The sequence below is a fragment of the Homo sapiens genome, chromosome 3 (genome assembly GCF_000001405.40).
Source record: "Homo sapiens chromosome 3, GRCh38.p14 Primary Assembly".
In the NCBI taxonomy this organism is placed as follows: domain Eukaryota; kingdom Metazoa; phylum Chordata; class Mammalia; order Primates; family Hominidae; genus Homo; species Homo sapiens.
The window spans coordinates 130,853,178-130,878,266 of NC_000003.12; the positions used below are offsets into that span (position 1 = coordinate 130,853,178).

The following is a 25,089-nucleotide window of genomic DNA, read 5'->3' on the forward strand; positions in this document are numbered from 1 at the left end:
ATAATTAATAAAAGCAAAACAGTATTAAATTCTAGGTAGATACTATTGCCTGTAAAACCTCCAAGCCTGAAACCTGCTCATTTGTTAATAAGGAAGATTAGCTTTTAAGAGAAAGGTTAGAGCATCCTAGGAGCCAACTGAGAAAGTTTCCTGGGTGAGGATGGAAAGGAATTAAAAGGTAGATAATGTTTTTCAATCCAAAATGATTCAGTGTTATTGAATGTAGTGTCTGCATGCCACTTAAAATCTTCTCCCACCTCACTTAGCGCTGCTAAGTACCAACCATGTTGACTTCCACATACTTGGGGAATATTATAACAGAACACCATCTGCTTCTTTACTTTTGCACATTTAAATGAACTCCCCCCTCTAGCCTAGAATTCTCTCCTTTACTTACAACTTGCCCTCCTGGAGGTCTCCTGTACATCCTTCAATACTTGGATTAAATGGGCTCAGTGAAAAGCTTTCTCCAGTGCTGCTGGGAAGAATGAAGTCTTCCTTTTCCAAGATATTTTGTTTGCTTCAGACACAGCCCTTACTACATTCTATGTAGTAAATCATGTGATTTCATGTCGATATTCGTGCACCCATGCACACATGACACTGGATGTTATCTTGTTCTTTGTTCCCTGAGGCATACTGGAGCCTGGCAGATACTGGTGTAAAGGTGACCCACACAACAGGCAGAGGGTACACACTGGATTGACTGTGACACAGACCTCCTTTGTTGTTTTTACTAGGCCTAGAAGTTCCCCATACCCCTTTTCTGTGGTCCAAATTATGATCATTGTTACACTCACCTTGTTCACATATGCTTTATTGTTTAAAACTTCTCCTAGTGCTCTTCTCGCACTTGGTGTCATACAGACAAGAAGATTTGACATGAGGGTTGATTTGTTTGGTAGCTTTTTCTGGTGGTGGTAGTGTTATTCCTGTGATACAGCCATCAATAGGTTGGTAGGTTATTTATCAAATTGAGAACAAATATTTCATCCTTTGCTTCCCTAGATTCTCTTGCAGCAAGTGTTTCACAAAGCCAAATCCCCACATATGTAGAAGATTAACAGCATTAATGAGATGAAGATGCTGAAGGTTGGGAAAATTTGTTAACCTTTCTCTCAGAATTATTCAAATGGTGTGGTAGTAACAGTGGTGGTGGTGAACGTTGGGCAGCCTGAGCCTAAATGGAGTCTCAGATGAGTTTGAGTAGGTGTGCTGAACGCACGCATAAGGGTGTTTGGTTTCGGTTATTTTATTTTGGTCTGAGGGCAACATCCAGCACCTGGCTCAGATGTTGGTGTCTAGTTTATAAGGAATGAGTGAGACTTGCAGGCAATGTTCCCCTAAGTACTAGAGACTCAGCAGCCTGATCTGTGGCTCAGGTGATCAAGCGGGACACTGAGTGTGGAAGGGAGAATTTGCTCCACTTCTGGGCTGACTATAGTCTAGCTTTAGCCTGGAGATGCCTGCCAAGAACCAAATACCTCATGAACCCCTGGGGAGTACTGCTCTTAGGGGCCAGCACCCCTGGGCTACATATGGGTGCTAGCACCAAACAATGAGAAGACAGTTTGTCAGCTCATGTGGGACAGTCTACTCTCTCTCCTTGGGTGAGTTCTTCTATTCCCATGGTTTCAAACACCTATTTGCTGAAAACTCCCAAATGTTTATACCCAGAGCACTTCAGCCTTGCATCCAATCATCTACTTGATATCTCCATCTGAATGTCTTGTGAATGTTGCAGACTGAATGTGTCCAAAGAGAATTCCACAAGCTCCAAACATGCTCCTCCCCAGGTTTTTCCATCAATCAACACAAAAGCTCAAACCAGAAACCTGGGAGTCACCTTGGCACCTCTCTTTTTCCCTTTCTCCCCCTTACGTCCCCTTCCTAATCCTTTAGTAAGACTTCTAAAATAGTTATTGAATTCTCCATCTTCACCCTTCTAATCCTGCCAACCATCTTTTCTTACTTGAACTATTGCAATAGTTTTCCAATTCGTGTCTCCATGTTCACTCTGGTTATCCTACAATCTGTGTCTCCTGTAGCAGTCAGAATTTTCTGCTTTAAATGAAAATCTTATTTTAGCTCAATGCGGGGAATATGATATTATTTTGTTTGCTAGTTTAGTCCCAGTGCTAAGCATAAATCTGGCACATAGATGATAAATTAATGTAATTGAATGGAAAAAGGGGACTTTGTAAGTATTAGAGAAGCCGTGGGGTTGGAGGGTTCACGGGGCTGAGGTGTTTTTATGCAGGTGAGGGTAAGAGATGGTGAAAATAGGGTTATTATCCTTAGTAAGCAGAGGCTGTTGAGATCTAGGGGAAATCATGTAGAGGAATTTATTTTACAGACGTGAAACTAGTGTCACAAACTAAGAGATTTGCCCAAGCTCGCATGGCTCATCTGTGTCAGTGCTGGGATTAGAATTTGGTTCGCTTGACTCTCATTCTGTTATGTATAGTGAACCCCTAAGCAGAGATGTAGAAAAAGGCCATATGAGAAAAAAACTCTACAGGATGGGTCCAGAGAATAGGTGATGCCTGAGGGTCAACTTGTCAACTTGTCAATAACAAATAAGACGTTTTGATGAGAGACTGAGGCAGAGCAGAGCCTGCTCTTTTTTGCCTTGTCCCTCAACTTACACTGCCCTTCAGCAGCCTCGCCAGTCTGAATCCCCACTTCTATGTGTCCCTGCAGGAGGAAAGCCGAGAAGGAGTCAGAAAACACAGGCCAGCTAATTTAATCTACAAGAATTTGGGATGACCTGTACCAATGTCTCGCTCTCTTGAACAGAGATTTTTTTTTTCCTGATTGAGAAATACCATTCAAGGGCTGATCTGACAAGTCTTGCCTGTTTAACAGTGAATCTGCTTAAAATGAGGAGAGTGGTCTTTGGGCCCAGGGGGCATGTACTGTAGCTACATTTTAATTACAGAGTAGAATCAAATTTTGTTTTGGAAGCTGTTCTAAAGTTTCCTTTCAATGGCTTAAGAAAATGTTTCTAGTTGGAACGGGATCACTGGAATTTTTTTTCTTTGCTGCTCTGTTTCTTAATGAATGCTAACCTCAAAGTTGCACTGTTAAATAAATATTTGAATTTAATTTGAATTTTAGAAACTTATTTCTGCATTTTGGCTCTCATACTTACTCTGAATGATACTATAAAAATTAAGAACTCCCCATTCCAAAGAAAACTATATTGAGATTTCCAAGGCTAAATAAGGATTTGAGGTTGCTGATGTAGGCTCTGATTCTCTAGGTAAAATGATAGACGTTTCACTACAACTTGATTTAAGAAATGTTTTTAGCTCCATAAAGTCAGTAAGTTGGTTATATCTTGAGTGTATACCAAAGCTATTCATTGTAAAAAGTCTTTTTGAAAAGTCATGAAATGCTATCCATTGTCAGTTCAAATGATATTTGAGGGGAAACTAAAAGTGCTTCTCCATGTCCCCTTAGCCCCATGCTTATGATCTTTCATTGGCTTCCATTTGCTTTTTGGATACAGACAAAGCTCCCTAATGTGGAGGGGTTTGTGTGGTCCAGCTCTGATTCTCTCCCTGCTGCATGTTGACCTTGCCCCCTGTGCTTGTGCTTGAGTAGAAAAAATTTCAGTCCTTCACAAACAGGAGGAAAAGATTTTCCTTGTAGAACTTAATAAATGTTATCTCATTTATACCTAGTGTTCCATTATTGGAACAATAAGCATGTGGGAGTTATTTACATCCTACTGCTCAAGGCCATCGCCAAGGTCTGATTGCAAAAATTCAAAAAATTGTAACTTTGGGCACAAATGGGTTAAGATAGAGGACAGAGAGTCTATGCCACTCCTGTGGAGGAATTTGTATAATTATATATAGGTAACATTGACAGTTAAATTGTGACAACATGAAGTTGAACTTTAATATTTCTGATTATTAAATGTGACATTAAAAGTGGAACTATTTTATTATGGTAATGACAACCTTTTCCTCTATCTGAAGGGAGAAATTTTTTAAATGAGCTATGTATTTACCAAAAAATAAAAAGCTACCAATGGTTTTTCACATTATCTACAAGATGCCTGAGAGTTATCATTGATAGCTTGCATAAAGATAAATGGCTTTCTAGTTGTCAGCAACCACCCTCATGGTCTTTCTCTCTCCCAAATATGTCTTCACTATCTAAGAAAATATCACCATCCTGATATTTAGGCAGAGGCCTAGGTTCATCTTTGGTGCTTTCTGCTCCCTTAGTCAATATTTAATCTATCACCAACTCCATTCAATTCTACCCCTAAAAAACTCCCAAACCGGTTGGTCTACTTCCCTCTTTCACCACCCTAGCCCAAAGACCGTCATTACTTCTTGCCTGAAATACTGTAATACCTTCCTCATTGGTCTCCCAGTAATCCACACTACAGTCAGAGAGGTCTTCTGAACACTACCACCTAGCCCCATGCTTATGATCTTTCACTGGCTTCCATTTGCTTTTTGGATACAGACAAAGCTCCCTAATGTGGAGGGGTTTGTATGGTCCAGCTCTGATTCTCTCCCTGCTGCATGTTGACCTTGCCCCTCTGTGTTAGTTAGGGTTCTCTAAAGGGACAGAACTAGAGGATATTTGCATATATGATGGGGAGTTTATTAGGAGAATTGACTCACATGAGTCACACGATCACAAGGTGAAATCCCACAATAGGCCGTTTGCAAGCTGAGGATCAAGGAAGTCAGTCTGAGTCTCAAAACCTCAAAAGTAGGGAAGCTGACTGTGCAGCCTTCAGTCTGTAGCCAAAGGCCTGAGAGCCCCTGGTAAATCACTGGTGTTAAGTCCAAGAGTCCAAAAGCTGAAGAACTTGGAGTCCGATGTTCCAGTGCAGGAAGCATCCAGCATGGGAGAAAGATGAAGGCCGGAAGACTCAGCCAGTTTCCTCATGCCACTTTCTTCTGCCTGCTTTATTCTAGCTGTGCTGGCAGCTGATTAGATGGCGCCCACCCAGATTGAGGGTGGGTCTGCCTCTCCCTGTCCACTGACTCAAATGTTAATCCCCTTTGGCAATACCCTCATAGACACATCCAGGAACAATACTTTGCATCCTTCAATCCAATCAAGTTGACACTCAATATTAACCATCACACCCCCTGTTCTCTGAACCCTAGCTATAGCACACTTCTTCTATGTATGCAAGTTTCCCTGCTACTTCCTGGCTAGGGCATCTGTTCCAATAATCATCTTTCTATCCTCCCTCAGTTAGTATCTACTCTTCCTTCAGATTTTAATTCAATATTAACTCCTTTAGAGCAGCCTTTTCTGACTTTTCCACCTTGCTTCATTACATCCTTTGAAGGCACTTGGTAACTGTCCTTTGCTGTATTTATCCTAGTAGCAATTTCGCATCTTTCTGTGGGGGCTATTTGATTCCCGATGTATCCCAGGTGACTAGCAAAGTGCCTGACAGATGGAAGGCACTGAATACAAGTTTGTGGAATTAGTGAATGTGGGGAGTAGGGGTGCAATGAATTCTATCTTGAGACTGAAGTACTTGAAATAATCCTGGATGTTAGACTTTGTGAGGAAGATACATGACTGCTTTTGTATATGTGTTTGTGTATGTGTTTTGTAAGAATCTTAGGGCTGTAGTACCAGAATGGCTGAGTGATTAAGGTATTGGACTTAAGAATCATAGGGCTAATTCATGAAGAAAGATAGGTATGCATTTGGGAGGTTCCGGAGGAAATAACCATGACCAATGGGTAGAATTGCAGGGAGGGATTATGATATACTAATAAAGATGAACTTTCTAAAAATGAAAGGTAAAGAAATGAATTATCTTCTGCAGAGTGCGGGGGTATGTGACCCCTCCTTAGGGGATGTTGTGGCAATGGTTTCTGCATCATAAAAGAGAAGACTGAATGACTTATTAGGTTCCAGCTCTGATATTCTAGTATAATAGGCAATAGAGAGATGAACAATTCAGATATTTTAGAAATAAGGAGAGGGCAGAGGGCATAGATGTGTAGTTAGGATTCCCGTTTTATTTGGTTAGTGGTAAATACTCCATAGTCTTAGCATGTTGCTCTAGAGTCTAAGACCAAAGAAGACAGAATCAAATGCCTTTGGTGATTAGAGTAGCATGTAATTCTCCGTCAAGGTAAAAAACAAAAGTTACATCTAGCAAAGACCTCAAGTGAAGAGCTATGTACCTGTGACTAGCTTTTCTAAGCCTAATCGACCACTTAACTACTTCTAATCCATAGTTTGTAAGTTATCTAACCCCTTCCAGTATAACGATAAATAGCTAAATATACATAGCAGTCATTGATAAATGGGGGTGCCAAGAAATTTCAGGTTATTTTGTGGCACTTTAACCACTGTTGTTTTTTCTTCTTCTTCAATCAAGCCTCTTTTACCTTCAGATTTTCTTCAATGCAGTCAGTGCTGGCAACTTGCCGTTTATTATGGTCCCTTCTGAAGGTGTTCCATCCTTCTTGTCCACAGCATCACAGCAGTGAAGTGTCAGACAAGCCTAAGAGACACCTGGACCCTGGGTTGATTTCTGAGCTATTTTTAATCCCTTCATTTACTTTAAAATTTTTCTAACCTACTGTGCTCTGGTGCCTTTGAAACATGGGAGTCAGTAAATGGATGAATATCAAAACTGTTGCTTTGTCTTTGAAATAAGCACATTATTAGAATAAGAAATTGAATTAGAAATCACAACAAATTACAAATTCGAATGACAAATATCACAAGCATCAAAAAAATCTAGAAAATAAGTGTTTTTACCAATTAAAAGTTAACAGATCCATCCTAAAATATTTTGTTCCTACATTGTGGGGGCCACAGGGTCTTTAATCACCTCCTCATAAAGTGATGGTTTTTAAATACTCTGTGAAGAGATAGTAGAAAGATAATTTGGATACTGCCCTAATACAGTTAATGTATGATTATTTTTCATTAAAACAAACATAAAGTGCAAAACCCTTTTCTGTGACAGTGTAGCTTTTTTAAAGATTCCTAAATTTGCTATCCCATTCCATGTTTTAGACAGTTCATCTACACTTCGTTAGCTTTTGTTCAGAATGAAAGATGACATATTTTTGCACCTTGTACAGACAGTCCCATGTCTTGACAGAAAACAAAATGAAAATACCCACATATGTTGTACTGCTCATGATTTGCTGTGAAGAGAGCAGGAAAAATGTTGGAATTATTTCTTTCCTACTCACCCTAAAGGTGGCATATTAGTAAGGCTATTTCAGGAGATACAACTTAGGTTATGCATTCAAGAATAAAATATTTTAAATTTGTATTAAATGCCTTATATGTGTCAGGCACTTGACAAGGTGCTTTACGTATGTTGTAATTTATTTCTCATAATAACCTTGCAAAGTCAGTGGTATTATCCCCATTTTGTGGGTGAGAGAACTGAGGTTTCAAGAGGTAAAGTAACTTGCTACATAGCTCATAAATGATGACTCTGAGATTTTAGCTCCAGGTTTGTCTGTTTGACCTCAAAGCCCAATTCATTCCCTCATACAGAGATACCTCCCATAGATAGGATTCCTTTCTCTCCTTCTTCCCTTCACTCCTTCCTTTCTTACTTTTTCCTTCCTTTTTTCCTTGACCTCAGATTTTCTCTCATTTATGAGGATAAAGGAGTTGAAAATAAAACCATCATAACTATTGTGTTTGGAAGATACCTTAAATCTTTTTTAGAATGAGAAATATAGGTGGAAATACAGGTTTTTGCAAAGTTTAAAGTTTATTCAATTTGGGAGACTTTGTTTAAGAAAAAGAATATAAAATCTGTATCAGGTTTCTCGACATGGTGCGGTGGCTCACGCCTGTATTCCCAACACTTTGAGAGGCTGAGGTGGGTGGATCAGTTGAGGTCAGGAGTTCAAAACCAGCCTGACAACATGGTGAAACCCTGTCTCTACTAAAAATACAAAAATTAGCCAGGCTTGGTGGCATGCACCTGTAGTCCTAGTTACTCGGGAGGCTGAGGCAGGAGGATCACTTGAACCTGAGAGGCAGAGGTTGCAGTGAGCCGAGATCACGCCACTGCACTCCAGCCTGGGTAACAGAGTGAGACCTTATCTCAAAAGTCTGTATCAGGGTTCTCTAGGAGGTGAGGTATTTATTATGGGAATCGGCTCATGCAATTATGGAGGCAGAGAAATCCCATAATCTGCTGTCTATAAGCTTGAGAACCCAGAAAGACAGCAATGTAATTTATTCAGAGTCAGAAGGCGTAAGAACTGGGAGCACTAATGTCTGAAGGCAGGAGAAGATCAATGTTCCAGTTCAGAGAAAGCAAATTCACCCTTCCTCTGCCTTTTGGTCCTATTTGGGTTCTCAATGGATTGGATGAGGAACGTTCATACTGATGAGGGTGAATCTTCTTTACTCAGTCCACTAATGCAAATGCTAATCTCTTCCCCCAAACACCTTACAGACACACCCAGATATAATGTGTTTTTTTATTTTTATTTATTTATTTATTTTACCAGCTATCTGACCATCCCTTAGCCCAGTAAAATTGAGACATAAAATTAACATCACAAAATTGTCAACATTAAAGTAGATACGAAGTGAATACTTATTTAGAATGGAAGAAGAAATCACAACAAATTACAAATCTGAGTGACAAATACCATAGGCATCACAAAATCTAGGAAATAAGTGTTTTTACCAATTAAAAATTAATGAATACACCCTAAATGTTTTGTTCCTACAATGTGGGGGCCACAGGATCTTTAATGACCTCCTAACACAATGATGATTTATTTTGATTTTGATTTTTTAATTAAAAAAATTTTTTTTGAGATGGAGTTTCGCTCTGTCGCCCAGGCTGAAGTGCAGTGGCGCCATCTTGGCTCACTGCAAGCTCCACCTCCTGGGTTCATGTCATTCTCCTGCCTCAGCCTCCCGAGTAGCTGGGACTACAGGCGCCTGCCACCATGCCTGGCTAATTTTTTTTTTTTTTTTGTATTTTTAGTAGAGACGGAGTTTCACCGTGTTAGCCAGGATGGTCTCAGTCTCCTGACCTCGTGATCCCTACTCCTTGGCCTCCCAAAGTGCTGGGATTATAGGCATGAGCCACTGTGCCCGGCCTTTATTTTTATTTATTATACTTACTTATTCACTTTATTTATTTATTTATTTATTTATTTATTTATTTATTTATTTTTAGTAAGAGACAGGGTTTCAGCATGTTGGCCAGCGTGGTCCCGAACTCCTGGCTTCAGGTGACCTGCCTGCCTCGGCCTCCCAAAGTGCTGAAATTATGGGTGTGAGCCACCGCACTTGGCTGATTTTTTAAATATTCTATAAAGAGATAATAGAAAGATAATTCAGATACTCCCCTGACATAGTTAATTGTTTTTCATTAGAGTCTAGAAAAGTTCCATCGCCTAGCTTTTGGCTCTGTTTCTCCTTTACTACCCACATACTTCAGGTGCTGAGCACCATAGGACATATTTATATGAAGATTTCAGCCCAGTGATTTAGTACAGGTAGTAGGGATATTCCTGTATGTCATTTCTCCACCAAAACATTTAGCAATAACTTAACCATGCACAGGCATGACTACAAACCACAATTATATAATCCACTAAATCCAAATGAAATCTAAGGGTATCCCCATCTCAACTTTCTTTGAGCCAGATCCAAGACATACCTATGGCCACTTCAGTGCTACCTGATAGGAGTAGAATTGTGAAGGAGGGATAGCCAGTAAAAAGAGTGCTCTCAAGCCAATTGCAGTTAAAATATATTTTGCAAATTTTTAACGAAACATAAGATTATGAGAACAATGCTAGAGTCTTTCTCGGGGCCTTAAAGAGGGTTCTGCAAGTGAGGGACCTTGAAGCTTAAGCTTTGTTGGCTTCCAAGAAAACCCAGCTCTGGAGGAAAGGTGTAACCAAAAAAAATGGTATTACACTATAATACACAAGAGTCCATGCCATATAGCGCTTCAAAAAATGATGTTATATGAGATCCTATTCTGAGCAGCTTCAGCTCCCAAACTCATTGAATGAAGTAGAGGATGTTCTATTCAGTATATTTTATAAATAATATGTTGAAGATATAGATGTTCTGGTACTGCTAAAACTCAAAGGTCTCAGACTCCTCTGCCACCATTTATATTCAAAAAAGAATTATTTGCAAAGGGATTCTTTGCAAATACAAATAGATCTCTATACTCCTATATTAGTCTAATTAATATTAAACACACCATTTACTATTCTTCCAAGCAGACCAGTTAACACACACACACACAGAGAAAGACTGTGTTATTGCTGTTTAAGATCACATAGTGGAAAAACTAAAACATCACTAAAGAAAGATAAAGTCTTTAAGAATTCATTAAGATGTAATCAAGCTTTTGCAAACTCATGTGTTATTTGCAATTATAGTATAGTGATATGGTTTAGCTGTGTTCACACCCAAATCTCAATTAAACTGTATCTCCTAGAATTCCTAGGTGTTGTGGGAGGGACCCAGGGGGAGGTAATTGAATCATGGGGGCTGGTCTTTCCCATGCTATTCTCATTATAGTGAATAAGTCTCATGAGATCTGATGGGTTTATCAGGGGTTTCTGCTTTTGCTTCTTCCTCATTTTCTCTTGCTGCTGCCATGTAAGAAGTGCCTTTTGCCTTCCGCCATGATTCCAAGGTCTCCCTAGTCATGTGGAAATGTAAGTCCAATTAAACCTCTTTTGCTTCCCAGTCTCGGGCATATCTTTATCAGCAGCATGAAAACAGACTAATATAGTAAATTGGTACCAGTAGAGTGGGGTGTTGCTGAAAAGATACCCGAAAATGTGGAAGTGACTTTGGAACTGGGAAACAGGCAGAGGTTGGAACAGTTTGGAGGGTTCAGAAGAAGACAGGAAAATTTGGGAAAGTTTGGAACTTCCTAAAGACTTGTTGAATGGCTTTGTCCAAAATGCTGATAGTGATATGGACAATAAGGTCCAGGCTGAGATGGTCTCAGATGGAGATGAGGAACTTGTTGAGAACCGGAGTGAAGGTGACTCTTGTTATGTTTTAGCAAAGAGAGTGGCAGCATTTTGCCTCTGCCCTAGAGATTTGTGGAACTTTGAACTTAAGAAAGATGATTTAGGGTATCTGACAGAAAAAATTTCTAAGCTGCAAACATTCAAGAGGTGACTTCATCACTGTTAAAGACATTCAGTTTTATAAGGGAAGCAGAGCATAAAAGTTTGGAAAACTTGCAGCCTGACTATGTGATAGAAAAGGAAAACCCATTTTCTGGGAAGAAATTCAAGTTGGCTGCAGGAATTTTCATAAGTAGCAAGGAGCCTAATGATAATCCCCAAGACCATGGGGAAAGTATCTCCAGGCCATTTCAGAGACCTTCACAGCAGCCCCTCCCATCACAGGCCTGGAGGCCTGTGGTTTCGTGGGCTGGGCCCAGGGTCCCTGTGCTGTGTGCAGCCTAGGGACTTGGTGCCCTGTGTTCCAGCCATGGCTGAAAGGGGCCAATGTACAGCTCAGGCTATGGCTTCAGAGGGTGGAAGCCCGAAGCCTTGGCAGCTTCCACGTGTTGTTGAGCCTGTGAATGCACTGAAGTCAAGAATTGAGGTTTGGGAACCTCCACCTAGATTTCAGAAGATGTATGGAAACACCTGGATGCCCAGGAAAATGTTTGCTGCAGGGGTGGGGTCCTCATGGAGAACTTCTGCCAGAGCAGTGTGGAAGGGAAATGTGGAGTCAGAGCCCCCATACAGAGTCCCTACTGGGGCACTGCCTAGTGGAGCTGTGAGAAGAGGGCCACCATCCTCCAGACCCCAGAATGGTAGATCCACCGACAGCTTGCACCGTGCTCCTAGAAAAGCCGCAGACACTCAACGTCAGCCCATGAAAGCAGCAAGGAGGGAGGCTGTACCCTGCAAAGCCACAGGGGTGGAGCTGCCTAAGACCATGGGCACCCAATCTTGCATCAGCATGACCTGGATGTGAGACCTGGAGTCAAAGGAGATCATTCTGGAGCTTTAAAAATTGACTGCCCTACTGAATTTTTGGACTTGTATGGGCCTCGTAACCCCTTTGTTTTGGCCAATTTCTTCCATTTGGAATGGCCACATTTACCCAATACCTGTACCTCCATTGTATCTAGGAAGTAACTAGTTTGCTATTGATTTACAGGCTCATAGGCGGAAGGGACTTGCCTTTCTCTCAGGTGAAACTTTGAACTGTGGACTTTTGGGTTAATGCTGAAATGGCTTAAGACTTTGGGGGACTGTTGGGAGGGCATGATTGGTTTTGAAATGTTAGGAGATGATATTTGGAGGGCCCAGGAGCAGAATAATATGGTTTGACAGTGTCCCCACCCAAATTTCAACTTGACTTCTATCTTCCAGAATTCCCATGTGTTGTGGGATGGACCCAAGTGGAGGTAATTGAATCATAGGGGCCAGTCTTCCCGGAGCTATTCTCATGATAATGAATAAGTCTCACAAGGTCTGATGGGTTTATCAGGGGTTTCTGCTTTTGCTTCTTCCTCATTTTCTGTTGCTGCCACCATGTAAGAAGTGCCTTTCACTTCCCGCCATGTTTCTGAGGCCTCCCCAGCCATGTGGAACTGTAAGTCCAATTAAACCTCTTTTTTATCCCAGTCTTGGGGATGTCTTTCAGCAGCATCAAAACAGACTAATATACATAGTTTCTGAAACTTGTCTGATACTCTAGATAAAGATCATCTTTATGTTGATTTAAAAATTTTTTAACTTTGTTTAATCCCCATAATCATATATTGACCTTTTTTGCTGAATTTTGCTCATTGAGAATGTATTGAAATGTCTACTTTTTTCATATATATCCTATTCTTAGCTGAAACTCTAGAATCCTCCTTTTTTGATTATATATGCATAATTATCCTTAAATGTAAGCAGTGCTTACAATTCTGTTCTGTACCATTACTATATTACCCAAGTTTACAACTTAACTAGACCATGGCTTATAAGTCATCTAAAAATAAATAAAGCAAATTATAGAAGTATTTTAGCCTTAAATAATGAAGACATGTTTGTTTCAAGTGATTAAATAGTGAGAATTGTGTAAAGCCATTTCACTAGCGTCAAAAAACTCCTTTTGCTCTGTCCCCAACATAAAATTTGTGTGTAATATACTTGAAATTTTTAGAGCCTCTGAAATGTTATCCAACTTATTTTCTTTAAGGATAAAATTATTTGTTTGAGAAACCCAGTTTCAAGAAAATGGCATTTTATCCTTACTTTGTGAAGCTTCCCTACTCCTCTTCTTTCATCTAACTGGTGCTGCTAAAGCCTGATACACCTAGTCAAAGAAGCATTGTTCCAAAGGTCCTGACCTGGAATAAGAAAACAAAAACTGGCTTCATAGCTAGGATGACAACTGTAGCTCCATTATCACTGAATTGCTAACTTTGTTCTTATTCTCTCAAACTGTGGTTTTGCCAATGTGATACTCAATTACCTAAGAGGGGAGAAGTATGATTTCTTTATGATTTTAATACTCTTTCCTCTCATATTTTAAAATAGCTGGTTTTAGGCCAATAAGTGTCTACTCAAAGAAATTCAAATCCTTATATAATTTAAGAATGCTGGAGGAGGTTTAAATATTCATGTACGGTCATACTTCCATTTTATTCCACTTCACTTATATATACATAGCACTTAACAGGTAATTGTGTTTTTTATAAATTGAAGGTTTCTGGCAACCTTGCATTGAGGAAGTTCATTGGCACTATTTTTCCAAAATCATGTATTCACTTCATGTCTCTGTGTCACATTTTAGTAATTCTTGCAATGTTTCAAACTTTCCCATTATTATTATATCTGTTATGATGACCTGTGGTAATTTTTGATGTTACTATTGTAATTGTTGTGGGGTGCCCTGAATCATGCCCGCATTAGACAGAAAACTTAATGGATAAATGTGTGTGCTGACTTCTCCACTGACCAGTGATTTCCCCAGCTCTCTTCTCCTTGGGCCTTCCTATTTCTTGGGACACAATAGTACTGAAAGTAGTCCAATAATAACCCTACAATGGCCTGTAAATGTTCCAGTGAAAGAAAGAGTCATACATTCCTCTCTTTAAATCAAAAAATAGAAATGATTGTCCCTCTCCCTCTCCCTCTCCCTCTCCCTCTCCCTCTCCCTCACGGTCTCCCTCTGATGCCGAGCCAAAGCTGGATGGTACTGCTGCCATCTCGGCTCACTGCAACCTCCCTGCCTGATTCTCCTGCCTCAGCCTGCCGAGTGCCGCCACGCCTGACTGGTTTTCGTTTTTTTTTGGTGGAGACGGGGTTTCGCTGTGTTGGCCGGGCTGGTCTCCAGCTCCTAACCGCGAGTGATCCGCCAGCCTCGGCCTCCCGAGGTGCCGGGATTGCAGACGGAGTCTCATTCACTCAGTGCTCAATGGTGCCCAGGCTGGAGTGCAGTGGCGTGATCTTGGCTCGCTACAACCTCCACCTCCCAGCCGCCTGCCTTGGCCTCCCAAAGAGCCGAGATTGCAGCCTCTGCCCGGCCGCCACCCCGTCTGGGAAGTGAGGAGCGTCTCTGCTTGGCCACCCATCGTCTGGGATATGAGGAGCCCCCTCTGCCTGGCTGCCCAGTCTGGAAAGTGAGGAGCGTCTCTGCCCGGCCGCCATCCCATCTAGGAAGCGAGGAGCGCCTCTTCCCCGCCGCCATCACATCTAGGAAGTGAGGAGCGTCTCTGCCCGGCCGCCCATCGTCTGAGATGTGGGGAGCACCTCTGCCCTGCCGCCCTGTCTGGGATGTGAGGAGCGTCTCTGCCCGGCCGCTCCGTCTGAGAAGTGAGGAAACCCTCTGCCTGGCAACCGCCCCGTCTGAGAAGTGAGGAGCCCCTCCGTCCGGCAACCACCCCGTCTGGGAAGTGAGGAGCGTCTCCGCCCGGCAGCCACCCCGTCCCGGAGGGAGGTGGGGGGGCTCAGCCCCCCGCCCGGCCAGCCGCCCCGGCCGGGAGGTGAGGGGCTCCTCTGCCCGGCCGCCCCTACTGGGAAGTGAGGACCCCTCTGCCCGGCCAGCCGCCCCATCCGGGAGGGAGGTGGGGGGGTCAGCCCCCCGCCCGGCCAGCTGCCCTGTCCGGGAGGTGAGGGGCTCCTCTGCCTGGCCGCCCCTACTGGGAAGTGAGGAGCCCCTCTGCCCGGCCAGTCGCCCCGTCCAGGAGGGAGGTGGGGGGGTCAGCCCCCGGCCTGGCCAGCCGCCCAGTCCGGGAGGGAGGTGGGGGGTCAGCCCCCCGCCTGGCCAGCCGCCCCGTCCGGGAGGTGAGGGGCGCCTCTGCCCGGCCGCCCCTACTGGGAAGTGAGGAGCCCCTCTGCCCGGCCAGCCGCCCCGCCCGGGAGGGAGGTGGGGGGTCAGCCCCCCGCCTGGCCAGCCGCCCCGTCCGGGAGGTGAGGGGCGCCTCTGCCCGGCCGCCCCTACTGGGAAGTGAGGACCCCTCTGCCCGGCCAGCCGCCCCGTCCGGGAGGGAGGTGGGGGGGGACAGCCCCCCGCCCGGCCAGCCGCCCTATCCAGGAGGTGAGGGGCGCCTCTGCCCGGCCGCCCCTACTGGGAAGTGAGGAGCCCCTCTGCCTGGCCAGCCGCCCCGTCCGGGAGAGTGGTGGGGGGGTCAGCCCCCCGCCCGGCCAGCCGCCCCATCCGGGAGGTGAGGGGCGCTTCTGCCCCGCCGCCCCTACTGGGAAGTGAGGAGCCCCTCTGCCCGGCCACCACCCCGTCTGGGAGGTGTGCCCAGCGGCTCATTGGGGATGGGCCATGATGACAATGGCGGTTTTGTGGAATAGAAAGGCGGGAAGGGTGGGGAAAAAATTGAGAAATCGCATGGTTGCCGGGTCTGTATGGATAGAAGTAGACATGGGAGACTTTTCATTTTGTTCTGTACTAAGAAAAATTCTTCTGCCTTGGGATCCTGTTGATCTGTGACCTTATCCCCAACCCTGTGCTCTCTGAAACATGTGCTGTGTCCACTCAGGGTTAAATGGATTAAGGGCGGTGCAAGATGTGCTTTGTTAAACAGATGCTTGAAGGCAGCATGCTCGTTAAGAGTCATCACCACTCCCTAATCTTAAGTACCCAGGGACACAAACACTGCGGAAGGCCGCAGGGTCCTCTGCCTAGGAAAATCAGAGACCTTTGTTCACTTGTTTATCTGCTGACCTTCCCTCCACTATTGTCCTATGACCCTGCCAAATCCCCCTCTGCGAGAAACACCCAAGAATGATCAATAAAAAATAAAAAAAAAAAAAAAAAAAAAAAAAAAAAAGAAATGATTAAGCTTAATGAGGAAGCATGTTGAAAGCTGAGGTAGGCTGAAAGCTAGGCCTCATGCATCAGTTAGCCAAGTTGTCAATACAAAGGAAAATTCTTGAAGGAAATTAAAAGTGCTACTCCAGTGAACACACAAATGATAAGAAAGCTAAACAGTATTTTTGCTAATGTGCAGGAAGTTTGAGCGGTCTGGATACAAGACCAAACCAGGCATACCATTCCTTTAGGCCAAAGTCTAATTCAGAGTAAGTCTCTAACTCTCTTGAATTCTGTGAAGGTTGAGAGAGGAGGGTTAGCTGCAGAAGAAAAGTTTGAATATAGCAGAGGTTGGTTCTTGAGGTTTAAGGAAAGAAGCAATCTCCATAACATAAAAGTACAAGGTGAAGCAGCAAGGAGTGATGGAGAAGTGGCAGCAAGTAATCCAGAAGACCTAGCTAAGATCATTGATGAAGGTGGCTATACTAAATAATAGATTTTCAATGTGGATAAAAAGCCACAGGCTGACTTTCTTGTTTGGAACCAGTACAGCTGTTGACTTTAAGTTGAAGCCAATGATGATTTATCATTCTGAAAATTCTAGGTCCCTAAAGAATGATGCTAAATCTACTTTGCTTGTGCTCTATCAATGGAACAACAGAGCCTGTAGGACAGCAGATCCATTTATAGCATGGCTTACTGAATATTTTAAGCCCACTGTTGAGACCTCAAAAAAAAAAATAGATTCCTTTCAAAATATTACTGCTCTTCACAGTGCAGCTAGTCACCCAAGAGCTCTGACATGAGGTAAAAGGAGAATAATGTTTTCATGTCTGCTGTCTGTTCTGCAGTCCATGGATCAAGGAAGAATTTTAACTTTCAAGTCTTATTATTTAAGAAACACATTTCATAAGGCTATAGCTACCATAGATAGTGATTCCTCTGATGGATCTGGGCAAAGTAAACTGAAAACTTTCCAGAGAGGATTCACCATTCTAGGTGTCACTAAAAACATTTGTGATTCATGAAAGGAGGACAAAGTGTCAACATTAACAGGAGTTTAGAAGAAGTTGATTCCAACCCTCATGGATGACTTTGAGGGATTCAAGACTTCAGTGGAGGAAGTAAGTACAGATGTGGTAGAAAGGGCAAGATAACTAGAAGTGGATCCTGAAGATGTTACTGAATTGCTGCAATTTCATGATAAACGTTGAACAGATGAGGAATTGCTTCCTCATAAGAAAACACAGAAAATGTTTTCTTATGATAGAACCTATTGCTGGGTAGATATGCTGTGAACATTGTTGAAATGATGACAAAGGATTTAGAGTATTTTATAAACTGAGGTGATAAAGCAGTGGCAGGGTTTGAGAGGACTGACTCCAATTTTGAAAGAGGTTCTACTATGCTACTAAACAGCATCAGACAATACAGAGAAATCATTTGTGCAAGGAAGAGTCAATTGATGCACCAAACTTTATTATTGTTTTATTTTAGGAAATTGCCACCGCCACTTCAACTTTCAGCAACCACCGCCCTGATCAGTCAATAGCCATTAACGTCAAGGCGAGATCCCCTACCAGCCAAAATATTATGACTCATTGATGGTTCAGATGATCATTAACATTCTTTAGCAATAAAGTATTTTTTAACTAAGGTATATACATTTTTTTAGACTTGCTATTGAATACTTAATAGACTACAATACAGTGTAAACATAAATTTTGTATGCACTGGGAAACCAAAAAATTTGTGTGACTTTCTGTATTGTGATATTTGCTTTATTGTGGTGGTCTCAAACCAAGCTCACAATATCTCTGAGTTATCCCTGTACATTCTTATTCACTCTTAGAATTGAGTACTATTGGCATGATCAAAATATTTTTAGATGAAAGCTTAATGCTTCTTGTAAACAGTGCTGAAACTTTAGCATGCATTGGAATCACCTAAAGGACTAATTAAAACAGAATGCTGGGCCCCACCTCCAGAGTTTCTAATACAGTAGGACTGAGGTGGGGCCCAAGAGTCTGCATTTCTAAAAAAATTCCAGGTGGGAGGGACCACACTTTCAGAACCACTGTTGCAGATCATTTGATGATGTATATTTCCAAAATCAAAGCTGACAGGGCTTGTCATACCTACTCAAGAATAGCATGTATGCTGCTTAGAAGATGGTAAGTCATTGTCAAAGCCAGAGGGATACTAATGATGACTTAGAGTTTCACAGGTTCTTAATTGACCATTTTCATTCACCTTGGCTGATGCCTAGTGTTACTTAATGCTTAGTAAGAAATCTTTAGGCCAGGGGCGGTGGCTCACCCCTATAATCCCAAACTTTGGGAGGCAGAGGCCGGCGGATCAGCTGAAGTAAGGAGTTCCAGACCAGCCTGGCCAATGTGGTGAAACCCCATCTCTATTAAAAAGTACAAAAATTAGCCAGGCGTGCTGGCGCGTGCCTATAACCCCTGTTACTCTGGAGGCTGGGGCTGGAGAATTGCTTGAACCTGGGAGGCAGAGGTTGCAGTGAGCGGAGATCATGCCACTGCATTCCAGCCTGGGCAACAGGAGTGAAACTCTGTCTCAAAAAAAAAAAAAAAAAAAATCTTTAAGCAATGTCTTGGCCCTAAGAATATAATCTAAAATATGTTCTTATGTTTATATCATCTTCGATAGCTGATTAAAGTGATGTAGCAACTGAGAATTTCAATTGTTGATTTAAATCATGGAATATACAAAAAGATATAATCCTTGTTAGGTCCTGCATACTTTCTAAAGCCATTATGAGGTCTTAATTAAAAGAAACAAAGAATAAAACCCTCATTTTTTCCCTAGCCCTTACTCTGCTTATTGTTTAAACATAATTATAAAGACTCTGAATAACAAAAATTTAACTGGAAAGATGAAATCAGTATTCTTAATACTACTTAGTGGCTTTTAGGTTTAGGACATATGTTTAATATGTATTCTGTTGATTTTTCAATAGATCATGTTAATTAACATGTCTCAATTACCTATTGAATAATGTCTCTAAAATGCCTATCTGTGATTATTATTCATGAGATTACACTCCCATTTTACCAGTACTATGCCTATCTGTGATTATTATTCATGAGACTACACTCCCATTTGAGGAGTACTTTTCTTTTCTTTTTTTTTTTTTTAAAGATGGGGTCTTACTCTGTCACCCAAGCTGGAGTGCAGTGGCACGAAATCGGCTCACTGCAACCTCCGCCTCCTGGGTTCAAGCGATTCTCCTGCCTTAGCCTCCCGAGTAGCTGTGATTACGGGCACCTACCACCACACCTGGCTAATTTTTGTATATTTAGTAGAGACGGAGTTTCACCATTTTGGCCAGGCTAGTCTTGAACTCCTGACCTTGTGATCTACCTGCCTCGGCCTCCCAAAGTGCTGGGATTACAGGTGTGAGCCACTGCGCCCAGCTTGAGCAGTACTTTTCAACTCTGAGAAGATAAACCCAAGGGATTCTAGAAGAGGGTCTGCTTGGAGAATAATTTCTCCAGTAATGGTATCTGAAGGTTGAATAAAAACAAGTGAATAGATGTAGATATTGACTAAGAGTGACTAAGAAAGACAGTTACCTTATTAATTAATACAATCTTGAGTGTCATCAAATTAGCTATGGGGCATATATCCTACACTCAGAAATTAGGCACTATTAAAGTTAAAGGGGGCCACACTGAATTGAAAGAGGCAAGAATTTAACAAACAAAATGATAAACTACAAAAGGTAACTAAATAAACAGAGCAGCTTCTTATATATTCTCCAATAAGGCATTGTGGAAACATTGAGGGATGGAGGGATACCCAAGCCAAGATGGGTATTAGACTGCTAACTTTGACATTAAACACTGAGAAATTCTTGAGCAGGGAGCTTCCTTTGTATGAGTCTCATCTTCATCACCTTTAAGAAGCAATTAATGAAATCTAGTCTGCTTACTTCGCAATGTTTTGAGCATTAAATTTAATTATATACAAATATGTACTTTTGGTGTCTGTTCAGTGAGAATTGATTCTCACTTCCCTAAAAGTAATTTAAACGTTTTAATCAAATGTGTAATGTTGACATCTTTACCTTTCCAAGTACTTTTGTACTTTTCCAGGGTTAAAATAACATTTTTGTCATTTAAATGAGGAAAAAATATAAGTTTTTTAAAAACTCAAATGTCATAGCTTTTTAACTGTTCTAATTGTGTCTGCTAATAGAAACAAGTTGATGTGCAAACCACAAAATAATAAATATTTTTGCCTAGCTTTTGGGAAAAAGAAAAGACTATAGTATACTTTAAGTAAGTGTAAATTTAGTTTCATTTTAGCAATTCCATAGTCGAATCTGTCACTAAGTAATCATTAGTTAAAGAAAAAAAATCTAGCCAGGCACCGTGGCTCACCCCTGTAATCCCAGCACTTTGAAAGGCTGAGGTGGGCAGATCACAAGGTCAGGAGTTCTAGACCAGCCTGACCAACATGGTGAAACCCCGTCTCTACTAAAAATACAAAAATTAGCCCGGCATGGTGGCGGGTGCCTGTAATCCCAGCTACTCAGAAGGCTGAGGCAGGAGAATCGCTTGAACCCAGGAGGCAGAGGTTGCAGTGAGCTGAGATTACACCACTGCACTCCTGCCTGGGTGACAGAACGAGACTCTGTCTCAAAAAAAAAAAAGAAAAAAAGAAAAAGAAAAGATAAGAAAAAAATCTAGTGCCCAGGGCATGCAACTATATAAGTAAAAATTCTAAAAGATCATCAATGTTTAAGAATAAAATACAGTCAGTTATATAATTTTAAAATATTTCTAATGAGTGATAAGGAAAACTTGTCAATGGAATTTCTGAAGTCAATAGCCAATTTTTAACTTTATCTGCTAATATGGCAATTATTTAACTTAAAAAACAGACACACTTCTTATTCAGTTTTTGGACATCTTATTCTGTAACTTCCTATTGATTAACATCGCCTTTAACATTTTAAGTACTTGTCGTAACATTTTATCATTTGAATAATTCATATTGTATTATACTCTTCACTTTTATAGGAACAATCATCAACCAACATTTTAACCTATTAATCTAAACTAAATTTTTTCCTCTCATTTAATCTATCAATTAAGATTCTTCTGATTGTATGTAACAGAAAATGTAGTTCATTTATTATCTCACATTAGAGGAAGTCTAGTGGTAGGGCAGGCCCCAGAGTTGGTTTATTTGTTAGCTTAATTATGTATTAAAGGACTTGGCTTCTTCGAGTCACTACTTTGCCATTCTTAGTATTGTCTTTTCTCAGGGGAAGGGTAGAAGGAGGGATAAAAAGGTGGCTGCTGTACTTCCAAGCATTCAGAATCATTGAAAAGTCTTGCTAAATCAGACTGCTGCATCTAATCCCCAGAATTTGATTCAGTAGGACTCGCCGGAGTGTGAGAATTTGCATTTCTAATAAATTCCCAGGTGATGCTGATGCTGCTCATAGTAAAGCCACACTGAGAAATATTAACTTAGACTAATGATCTTGGAAACGAATGGATTTTTTCTTTTCTTTTTAGTTCACATGTAATAGTTGTATTTATTTATGCAACACAGAATGATATTTTGATACATCTGTACTATGTGTAATCATCAAGTAAGGGCAATTAGCATATCCCTCACCTCAAAAATTTATGATTTCTTTTTGTTGGGAACATTCCAAATCCTCTCTTCCAGTTTTTTAAAAATATGCAGTAAATTGTTGTTAACTATACTCATCCCACAGTGCTATAAAACACTGTAATGTATTTCTCCTATCTAGCTGTAATTTTGTATCCATTAACCAACCTCTCCCTATTCCTCCCCTCCAACTACATTTACCAGCCTCTAGTAACCACTATTCTACTATTTACTTCTATGAGTTCAACTTTTGAGCTCATGTATGGGTGTGAACATGTGTTATTTATCTTTTTGTGCCTTATTTATTTCACTTAACATAACATCCTCCAGGTTCATCCATGTTGCCATGAATGACAGGACTTAATTCTTATTTATAACTGAATCGTTTTCTATTGTGTATATATACCACATTTTCTCTATCCAGTCATCTGTTGATGGACTTGTAGTTTGATTCCATTATCTTGGCTATTGTGGATAATGCTACAATAAACATGGGGGTGTAGATACCTCTTCAATATACTGATTTGCTTTTCTTTGGATAGGTACCCGGTAGTGCTGAATCACATGATAGTTCTATTTTTAGTTTTTTGAGGAACCTCCATACTGTTTTCCATAACGGCTGTACAAATTTACAATCACACTAATACTGTATGAGTTTCCCTTCTTCTGTATCCTCACTGGCATTTGTTAGTTTTTGTCTTTTTGACAATAGTCATTCTAACAAGTGTGAGGTGATATCTCATCGTGGTTTTGATTTGCATTTCTCTGATGATTAGTGATGTCGAGTGTTTTTTTTTTTTATGTACTTGTTGGCCATTTGCTTTGAGAAGTGTCTTTAGATCATTTGCCCATTTTTAAATCAAAATATTTGAGTTTTTTTTGGAGTTATTTTTTGAGCTGTTGGTTTTTTTCAGTTCCTTGTATATCCTGGATATTTTGTCAGGTAAATAGTTTGCAAATATTTATTTCCATTCTACAGGTTGTCTCTTCATTTTGTTGATGATACTCTTTGTTGTGCAGAGGCTTTTAGTTTGATATAGTACCACTTGTCTATTTTTATTTTTGTTCCCTGTACTCTTGAAGTCTTACCCATAAAATTTTTTCCTAGACCAATGTCCAGAAGCATTTTCCCTGTTTTCTTCTAGTAGTTTTAGGGCTTTGTGTCTTACATTTAATTATTTAATCCATATTGGGTTCATTTTTATATATGCTGAGAGTTAGGGGTCTAATTTAATTCTTCTTTAATATGAATATCCAGTTTTCCCAACACCATTTATTGAAAAGGATGTTCTTTCACTAGTGTATGTTCTTGTCTTCTTTTCTGAAAATTAGTTGGCTGTAAATAGTTGGATTCATTTCTAGGTCCTCTATTCTGTTCTATTTGTCCTTGTTTCTGTTTTTATCTTGCTGTTTTGGTCACTAAAATTTTGTAGTGTATTTTGAAGCCAGATACAGTGATGCATCCAGGTTTGTTCTTTTTGCTTAGGATTGCTTTGGTTCCTCAGGATCTTTTGTGTTTCCACATGAATTTTAAGACTGTTTTTTCTATTTCTATGAAGAATGTCGTTGGTATTTTAATTGGAAATGCATTGAATCTGTAGCTTGAGTAATATGGTCATTTTAACAATACTAATTCTTTCAATTCATGAGCATAGGATGTCTTTCCATTGTTTTTGTGTCCTCTACTATTTGTTTCATCAGCATTTTATAGTTTTCATTGTAGAGGTCTTTCACCTCCTTGGTTAAATTTATTACTAGGGGTTTTTTGTAGCTAGTATAAATGGAATTGCTTTCTTGATTTCTTTTTATTGTTGTTGTTATTGGCATACAGAAATGCTACTGATTTTTGTATGTTGATTTTGTTTCCTACAAGTTTACTGAATTTGTTTATTCGTTCTAAAAGTACTTTGGTGGAGTATTTAGGTTTTTCTGTATATAAGATCATGTTATCTGCAAACAGGGACAATTTGACTTCCTGTTTTTGAATTTGGATGCTGTTTATTTATTTCTCTTGCCTAATCTATTTTGTCTGATATAAGTATAGCTACTCCTATATACTTTTGGTTTTCATTTGTGTGGAATACATTTTTCCATTCCTTCACTCACAGTCTTTGTCTGTTTTTAAAGGTGACAAGAGTTTCTTGTAGGCAGCATAAAGTTGGGTTTTGTTTTTGCTTATTCATTCAGCCAGTCTTTATCTTTCAATTGGGGGGATTTAAAATGTTTAAAAGAAACTACCATCAGAGTGAACAGGCAACCTACAGAATGGGAGAAAATTTTTACAATCTACCCATCTGACAAAGGGCTAATATCCAGAATCTACCAAGGACTTAAACAAATTTACAAGAAAAAATCAAACAACCCCATCAAAGAGTGGGCAAAGGATATGAACAGACACTTCTCAAAAGAAGACATTTATGCAGCCGACAGACCCATGAAAAAATGCTCATCATCACTGGACATCAGAGAAATGCAAATCAAAACCACAATGAGATACCATCTCACACCAGTTAGAACGGGATCATTAAAAAGTTAGGAAACAACAGGTGCTGGAGAGGATGTGGAGAAACAGGAACACTTTTACACTGTTGGTGGGACTGTAAACTAGTTCAACCATTGTGGAAGTCAGTGTGGCGATTCCTCAGGGATCTAGAACTAGAAATATCATTTGACCTAGCCATCCCATTACTGGGTATATATCCAAAGGATTATAAATCATGCTGCTGTAAAGACACATGCACGTGTATGTTTATTGCGGCACTATTCACAATAGCAAAGACTTGGAACCAACCCAAATGTCCAACAGTGATAGACTGGATTAAGAAAATGTGGCACATATACACCATGGAATATTATGTAGCCATAAAAAAGGATGAGCTCATGTCCTTTGTAGGGACATGGATGAAGCTGGACACCATCATTCTGAGCAAACTATCACAAGGACACAAAACCAAACACTGCATGTTCTCACTCATGGGTGGGAATTGAACAATGAGAACACTTGGACACAGAGTGGGGAACATCACACACTGGGGCCTGTCGTGGGGTGGGGGGAGGGGGGAGGGATAGCATTAGGAGATATACTTAATGTAAATGACGAGTTAATGGGTGCAGCACACCAAGATGGCACATGTATACATATGTAACAAACCTGCAGGTTTTGCACATGTA

General features: G+C 40.8%; 1 protein-coding gene and 1 long non-coding RNA gene across 8 annotated transcripts in view, besides 1 other annotated feature; one reads left to right on the forward strand and one right to left on the reverse strand.

The window, feature by feature from the left end:
* Positions 1 to 25,089, reverse strand: part of LOC107986023 (uncharacterized) — a 142,619-nt gene that overhangs the window by 101,875 nt on the left and 15,655 nt on the right. The gene's annotated exons all lie outside the window — the stretch shown is intronic.
* Positions 1 to 25,089, forward strand: part of ATP2C1 (ATPase secretory pathway Ca2+ transporting 1) — a 166,118-nt gene that overhangs the window by 2,583 nt on the left and 138,446 nt on the right. The window lies entirely within an intron of this gene.
* Positions 15,619 to 16,507: an enhancer, noted in NCBI's record as "OCT4-NANOG-H3K27ac hESC enhancer chr3:130587640-130588528 (GRCh37/hg19 assembly coordinates)". NCBI's record gives its function as "activates a minimal SCP1, AML or CMV promoter by ChIP-STARR-seq in naive H9 embryonic stem cells {active_cell/tissue: H9 hESC(naive)}" and the evidence as "EXISTENCE:reporter gene assay evidence [ECO:0000049][PMID:30033119]".